Raw genomic sequence first — 7,660 nt, forward strand, 5'->3', positions numbered from 1 at the left:
TACTCTACCCTTCTACTGGAACCTCAGCTGGCCACAGAGGGCCCTTCTGTCTGTTCTGTCTCCCCCATGCTGGAGCCTGTGATATTTCTCTATTTGGGGCAGGGAGAATGATTTAGCTCAACTTGCCTCCAAATCAGTGACTGGGGGCTCCCTTAGATGTCCCTGGAAAGAACACTGGCACAGCGCTTGACCCTGAATGGTGATTGTATGGCGTGCCCTCTGGTACCTGGCATAGAGAGGACAATTAGGGTGCTGTGTGGGGCTCTTTGTTCTCCTCTGCCCCATCCTCTTTTTCTCCCTGATGGCACTTTGGACCCCTGGTTCTTCAGAATCACCAGGTTTGACCTGGACTCTGCAGATGAGGTCCTAAGTAGGAAATTCACATCGTGACAGCTCAGATTTCTCTTTTGTCTCAAGTCTTTGGGATGGGAGCAGAGAGCTGAACACAGTCTTATTAGTCAGAAGGAAGGGGAAGGAGTCTAGTGGGCCCAAAGAACTAACGGGGCAATCATACCTATCACCCCCAAAGCATAGATAGAGCAAAAAGTTGGGGTCAAGACAACATATTCTGCTTCGTAACTGCCTAAATGCTGATGGCAAGAAATTTTAACTGAGCTGAGTGATTCCACCACAAATTCATGCTTTCCGTCTCACAGCTGGGTTCTGAATGCTTCTTGACAATCATTTTCCTAATCACTCCATGATTTCCTTTCCATTCCTCTCTGCAGCTGTTACAAACCTTCCCACTTGTCTCAGCTCCCCACCTCCACTCCTACCCTGCTCTCTCCTCACCATGGATGTCACCTTCAGTGAGAAGGAGACACTGTGGGCTGCCACTCCAGCAGCAGCCCTTCCTTCAGCCCCAAATCCCTTCCTTCTGCTCTGATTTGGGTCACTTTCTCCTCTGGTCTTTCTTAGTTAAAGGTCCTGAACATCACCAAGAATCAGCCCTCCACCCCTTATAGAATAAACAGGTTTACGCGAAGGTGGAGACTCAAATCCTGGCACCGCCACCACCAGCTTGGGAGCCCTAGGCAAGTGATAACCTCTTAGTTTCACCATCGATAAAATGGGAGTCATAAGAGTACCTACCTCATTGGGTAATTGTAAGGATTTCATTAATTTTTCTGGGTAAAGAATTTAAGACATTGCCTGGCACAATATAAGCCCTATGTAAGTGTTCACAAGTATTATTATGCTGTGTATTTGTTAATGTGCATTACATTATGTGTGTGTGTGTGTATATATATATAGTTTATGTATTTTTTTTAATTTTTGAGACAGAGTGTTGCTCTCTCTCAGCCTCCCAAGTAGCTGAGATTACAGGTGTCCACCACCACGCCCAGCTAATTTTTGTATTTTTAGTAAAGACGGGGTTTCACCACATTGATCAGGCTGGTCTTGAACTACTTACCTCGTGATCCACCTACCTTGGCCTCCCAAAGTGCTGGGATTACAGGTGTGAGCCACCACGCCTGGCCACATTATGTATATTAATTAATGTGCAGTCATTTCTAACATGTGTTAATATAAATAATGGTTATTAGGAGTTGTGAATCTTCAAAAGGGGAATGCCATATCACTGCTGCCAAATACCTGTTACCCAGGAGCACCTACTGACACTTCCCCAGAGCAGTGTTCTACCATACACCTGCCTGAAATCAATGCCTTCTTCCTTGCCTGATCTTCCACCAAACTCCTACCTAGTAGGCTGTCACTGAGCCTCTTGCTCCTGCCCCCATGCTCTCTCCTTACCCCTGTAATCCCAGCACCACTCTCATAACTCTGTGAAGGACACATTCCTTATATGACTCCTAAAGAACAAACCTATGGGACTTGTCTTGCTCCTTTTCCTACCTGACCACCACAGACTTGGCCACATTCATGACCACCTCCTTTCAACTCCTTTTAACCTTGACCCCCGGAACATTACTCTCCTCTCGTTCTTCATCACCCTACGCATATTGTCTCCTTCATCAGCCTCATTATTTCCCTCAACCCTAGAATGCAGCTTCTGCTCAGTGCCTGCTCACCACCCCCCATCCCTCCACCATCACTCCTTGGGTCTCGTAACCTTACAGGCCAGTGTCCTCAGGACAGTCCTAGTCTACACCTGTTGTCCCGCTTTCTCTCCCCAAAGTGTCTCATGTTGTATGACAAATTACAGAGCCACTCTCTCTATGAGAGAGGTCCTCCACCTTTGCAGCTTCAGCAGCACCTCTAGACAGCAGTGATGGTAGCCAAGCAGCTGGGACAGCCCACTTCCGTGCCCCCTCCATTCACAGTGCAGACAATTGACATTTTCTTCATCTCATGTAAGGAGCTATGTAAATGCAGCCCCTTTTCCCTACTTCCAGCCAGATTGCTGCCCTCAAAGCCCTCCTTTATAGATAAACTGGAACTGCCACTGAATACAAAGGACTCCCAATGCATCCGTCCATTCCTTACTTCTACCCTAAGACTCAGACTAGCATATTCAGCTTCCTGATGGACAGTGCCAATCAATATTCCCCAGACACCTAAAATCCAACAAGTGCAAAAGTGAAGTTCATGTCATCCCCCTCCACTTTCCACTTGATTCTCCCCTACTTCCTGTGTCTGCTTACAGCTTATACCAGCTATATTATACCCTCCTCATACCCCCACCAAAGGGAGACGGCCACACCTGCAGCACAGGGATGATTTGTGCCATAGAAGCCCATTTGTCTATTTGCACTCAACTAGAGCACATCAACACATTTTTGGACCCCCAAGCGAGAAACCTCCCCCAAATCTTCTCAACTTTTCTCTCAATGCCACATCTTGGGACCAAGCCCTGCAGTTGGCCTGTGTCCCTTGAATTTGTTTTTATTTGCATTGCCACCACTATTGTCTCTTCTTCCATATCGGTCATTAATTCCTAACCCAATCTGACTTCTGCCCTTTTACTCTACTGAAAAGGTCTTTGCCAACAGCCTTCTGGCTGCTAAACCCCATGGGTTCTTTTCCACCCTTTTCTACTCCACCTCTTGCAGTTTTAATTCCCTTGACCACACTCATAATCCTGAAATAGTTTCTTCAACTTCCAAGCCTCCATATTCCTCTGAGACAGGAGGAAGAGCCGTGTTGAGGGTAAGATATTCGTTGTGAGCACGTTGAGTGTGAGTGGTGTATCAGACATCCAAGAGGATGCGTCCTAGATGGTTGGTATATGGATCAGAATCTGTGCTGTCCAATATAGTAGCTACCAGTTACATGTTGCTATTTAAATGTAAATCAATTAAAATGAAATAAAATGTAAAATGCAGTCCTCTCTACCAAGTTTCACAACTCGAAAGTGTAGATGGCCTCCTTAGCTCCCCTGCTCCCTTAGGCCCCCACACGCAGTGAGTCACCAAGTCTGGCTCCCTTAAATATCTTTATTATTAGATTCATGCCACTTAATGTGGCCAGTGACGCCCTTCCTGAGCTGGCCTCAGCTCATTCCTCCCTCTCCTCCCCAGCCACACCCCACTTGATCTCTATGCCCAGTGACAAGCTCTCTTTTGCTGTTCCTCCCCTCACCCAACCTCTTGTCCTGGTTAAATTCTAGTCATATTTTAAGGCTCATCTTCTCCTCTAGCGAGTTTTCATTGTAACCTCAAAATTAGATTATGTGCCCCTTTTTGTGCCCTTATAGTGCCCAAAGTGTCCTATCACGGGAGAGTTCACAGTGCACTGAAATAAACTCTTTTATTTTCTGTCTCCCCAGGACCAGCTGTATCTACAGTACCTAGAACCATGCCTGGCATACAGTAGGCACCCAATACATATTTGATGGATGAATTAAGGAATGAATGAATGAATGAATGAATGAAAAGTAAATTAATGAACGAAAAAACTAAACAGTAGGTGTTATCAGGGAAAACTGTTAACGTCATTACTAATTATGGATCCTAGAAAAAATAACAAAAGATAGAATGAATTACAAATTTGCTTTGGTGGCACCCAAGTGATACTAATTACAGTTATTTACATTACATTAAATCTTACTTTTTATGCCAAATGACCATGCAGTAAAAGTAAGGATATCATTAAATATGTATATCATTAAATGTGTCAGATCAACATGGTTGAGTTTTATTTTGTTATAATAGTGAAGTATGCACATATGCTTAGACTACATCAATTATTGCTGATGTCTGTTGTCTGTTCTCACCCTTGAACAAGTTTATTTTCTCTGTTCCTCATTCCATAGCATCTCCAACATTGAGAGCATTGTGAAAATAAGCAACAGGCAGAGAAATGGATGATCACTTCTGACCGTGTAGAATACAAAGCAATTATGAGCCGATTGTAATTCTGATGCTGTTGATTTGTTATTCATCATTATAATGCACCTGACAGCAACATAGGCTTTCACAGGCGCCATTTTATTTAGTCATCTCTTCAGCTCTGAAAGTAATTATGGTTCTCAGAGAGAGTTTTAGCGATTTGTTCTAGATTTGTTCTAATAAATGGCAATGGCAGGTAAAGAGCCCATATTAAGACAGGTTGGGCAGAAACAGTACATGAAGTCAATTATATTTGAAATTACACTTACTAATGCCTGTAAAATGTGTTTGTCATACATATCTCATTCAATCAATAATGATTTGGGTATTTTAACCCATTTTTGCAGATAAGGCAACTGTATTAGCCCGTTTTCACACTGCCGATAAAGACATACCCGAGACTGGGCGATTTACAAAGGAAGAAGTTTATTGGACTTACAGTTCCACGTGGCTGGGGAGGCCTCACAATCATGGTGGAAGGTGAAAGGTACGTCTCACATGGCGGCAGACAAGAGAAGAGAACTATTGCAGGGAAATTTACGTTTTTAAAACCATCAGGTCTCGTGAGACTTATTCACTATCATGAGAACAGCACAGGAGAGACCTGCCCCCATGATTCAAGTACCTCCCACCGGGTCCCTCCCACAACATATGGGAATTCAAGATGAGATTTGGGTGGGGACACAGCCAGACCATATCAGCAACTAAGGCTTAGAGCGGTTGGGTAATTTGCTCAAGGTCTCAAGGACGATAAATGATGACTTTTGAACATGGGTCCTTTGGCTCAAGAACCCATGTGGTTTTTGTTTTCTTCTATTTCACTTGGTTTATGCCTAATGGCCCATGTTTTATCAGGAAGGTGTGAATAAAGACATGTCCTAGCCAGGAGGTGCTAGGGCTGAAGGTTTGAGGGAAAGTAGTAGAAAAGGTTTCAAACAGCTGCTTTGAGTGCCTGCTAATGGCAGATTATGGAAGCCCAATGTTGAGGGTCTAGTAAGGGTAGGTTATGGAAGCCTGACACGGGTGTCTTGGAGCTCTCTCCCTGGGACTCCTGTGCTTGTGGTGCTGTAGAACCAAGTGTTGGCACACAGTCAGCAATCCCAGCTGAGCCTTGCCTTGCAGCCATCCCCACTGAGGTGCTAGACTTACAAGGGAAGCTGTCCTGGACCCTCCAGACCAGTCCATCTGCCAGCCGAATACAACACCACCACCTCAGCCAGCACTACATGGAACAGAACAATGGAGCAGCTGAGCCCTGCCCAAACTCCTCACCCACAAAAGCACAAAGAGTAAAAATGGCTGTTGTTTTAAGCCGGTCAGTTTTGGGGTAATTTGACACATGGCAACAGATAACCAGAATATACCACAAGTTCATTTTGTAGCTTCCTTCTCTTCATGGTGCCAGACAAATCATAGCCAATGGCCAGGCTAACAACCAGTCACAAGAAAACAAACTCTCCCCTCTTGCACATGGCAATTCACACACAAAAACAATTACAGTGATTTTGCATTTCTTACAAATAGCCTATCCATGGGCCGATTCGAAATGTTGCCCATAAAACCATTTTTCCTTTGCAGGTTATAAACACTGATAAAAAGGAAACATGTCCTCTCCGTGCAGACTGAGCCGACAGGACGGACATTCTTTTGATCATTTTACCATTTTCATGTTTGACACACAACAGCTTTTTCACTGTTCAACCCAAATTTGAAGAGGAAACAAGATAACATCTGTTTCCTTCACCATCCTTCCATGCATTTCATAGCACCCAGATATATAGGTGCTTTGCTCACAGGGATCACGCTATTCAAGTTCACCTTCTGATGATTCTGAGATGAAAATGGCATTTGCTATAGATCCCTCTCACAGGGTAGGCCGGGAATGCAGACTAGCTAAGTAGGGAGTGGGAGGCAATTACTCTAACCTCAGTGGACAAAACAGTTCCCCAAACTGCAGAATTAGCAGAGCACAAACGCTGCAGCTGTTTGCAAAGGCACCCGCGGTATTTCTGACATGGCAAATCATGCTGGTGATGTCAGACTCTTTTCTTAAACAAAAGTGAAATGTGAGAAGGTGAAAATACGTGACTGCTGGAAGATGTTTTTCCTTGTTTGGGGACTGCATTCGCAAATGACTCTTGTCCAGGACCCTGGGTTTTCCCCAGGTCTTTTAAAGGTCTACATTCCTTTAGAATCCTTCACTAAACCTACCAGTTGGCTCCCTAACTTCCCGGTTATCTCACCGCTCTGTCATGCAAGTCACTGAGCAGGGAAAGTGACTCATAGGCTCTAAAGAAAACCTAATTCATTGAATTAAACATTGGAAAGAATCTAAGTGAGTCACTGTATCCTTCGCTTGGTCTTTAGGCAGCACCACACCTTGATCATTCCAGCCAGAAGGGAGGTAATCATATTTTTAAAAAGCTGCTTGGAGAAGGATTATTTACAACGATAATAAATCCCATTTCTATATATACCTATATTCCGAAAACAACAGCAAAGGCACTGCAAAATTAAACCCCAAAATACAAACTGAAGAGCAGAAATATGCAAAGCCTTGAGCCTAGCTCACACCGCTTCTGTGCAAATTAGAAAAAGGTGGCCCCCCAGGTTGAAGGAATTAGGAAAAAGCACCCACTTGGGGCAGCAGCTGCTGACAGCCATGTTTGGGGGCCTGGTGAGTAAGCAAATGGGCTGGATCTCCACTCACCCCCCTGCCCTGCCCTCCAGCCCTTCCCCTAACCACCTCCACCCCTGCTTTTGTGCAGAGAACAAATTCCAGGACCTTGTGCAGTGGCGTGAGAAGAAGGACATGGAACTTTTTATGACTCCCCCTCCCCATTTTCCTGGTAAAATCTTTTTTTCCCTACTTTTGACCCTGTTGTTCCTTATTGCTAACACTTGGAAACACTGATTTTTTTTTTAATTTGTCACGCTGTACTAACAGTTGCAGGCTGGCAGTTCATGTGTTTTTATCCAACCAGGTACCCAGCAGGTGCTCGAGAACCATTACAAAAAGAACGAATAACTCTCTCAGAGGGAATGAGCACAGCCTCCAGTTCTAACGTCTAATGCTGTCCTTGCTTTAAACTGAAAGGAAGAGTGTGATCTCACCTCTCCTGGGGAAAAACAACAGACCTGTAGACAAGTTGCTCTGCAGAGCAAAATTCCAGGCAGAAAAGGGGCATCCTTGAGCACACGGGTTTCTGCAGCCATGAGATCTGGGCCCCGCGCTGGCGCTATCACCCTTGCACTTGCCTCTTGTTTAGGTGCCTTTCCAGAGCGTTCTCCCTCACCTAGTAGCACATTAGAGGGACCATCAAGAAGGGGAGCATCATTTCTTACCCCTCAGAGCCCTCTCACAGACA

General features: G+C 44.8%; 2 annotated features.

The window, feature by feature from the left end:
• Nucleotides 5,130-5,657: an enhancer, noted in NCBI's record as "H3K27ac hESC enhancer chr5:14034965-14035492 (GRCh37/hg19 assembly coordinates)". NCBI's record gives its function as "activates a minimal SCP1, AML or CMV promoter by ChIP-STARR-seq in naive H9 embryonic stem cells {active_cell/tissue: H9 hESC(naive)}" and the evidence as "EXISTENCE:reporter gene assay evidence [ECO:0000049][PMID:30033119]".
• Nucleotides 6,041-7,240: an enhancer, noted in NCBI's record as "P300/CBP strongly-dependent group 1 enhancer chr5:14035876-14037075 (GRCh37/hg19 assembly coordinates)". NCBI's record gives its function as "activates an origin of replication core promoter dependent on BRD2, BRD4, P300/CBP, MED14 and CDK7 cofactors, with strong dependence on P300/CBP, by STARR-seq in HCT116 cells {active_cell/tissue: HCT116}" and the evidence as "EXISTENCE:reporter gene assay evidence [ECO:0000049][PMID:35650434]".

The sequence above is a fragment of the Homo sapiens genome, chromosome 5, assembly GCF_000001405.40.
Source record: "Homo sapiens chromosome 5, GRCh38.p14 Primary Assembly".
NCBI lineage: Eukaryota > Metazoa > Chordata > Mammalia > Primates > Hominidae > Homo > Homo sapiens.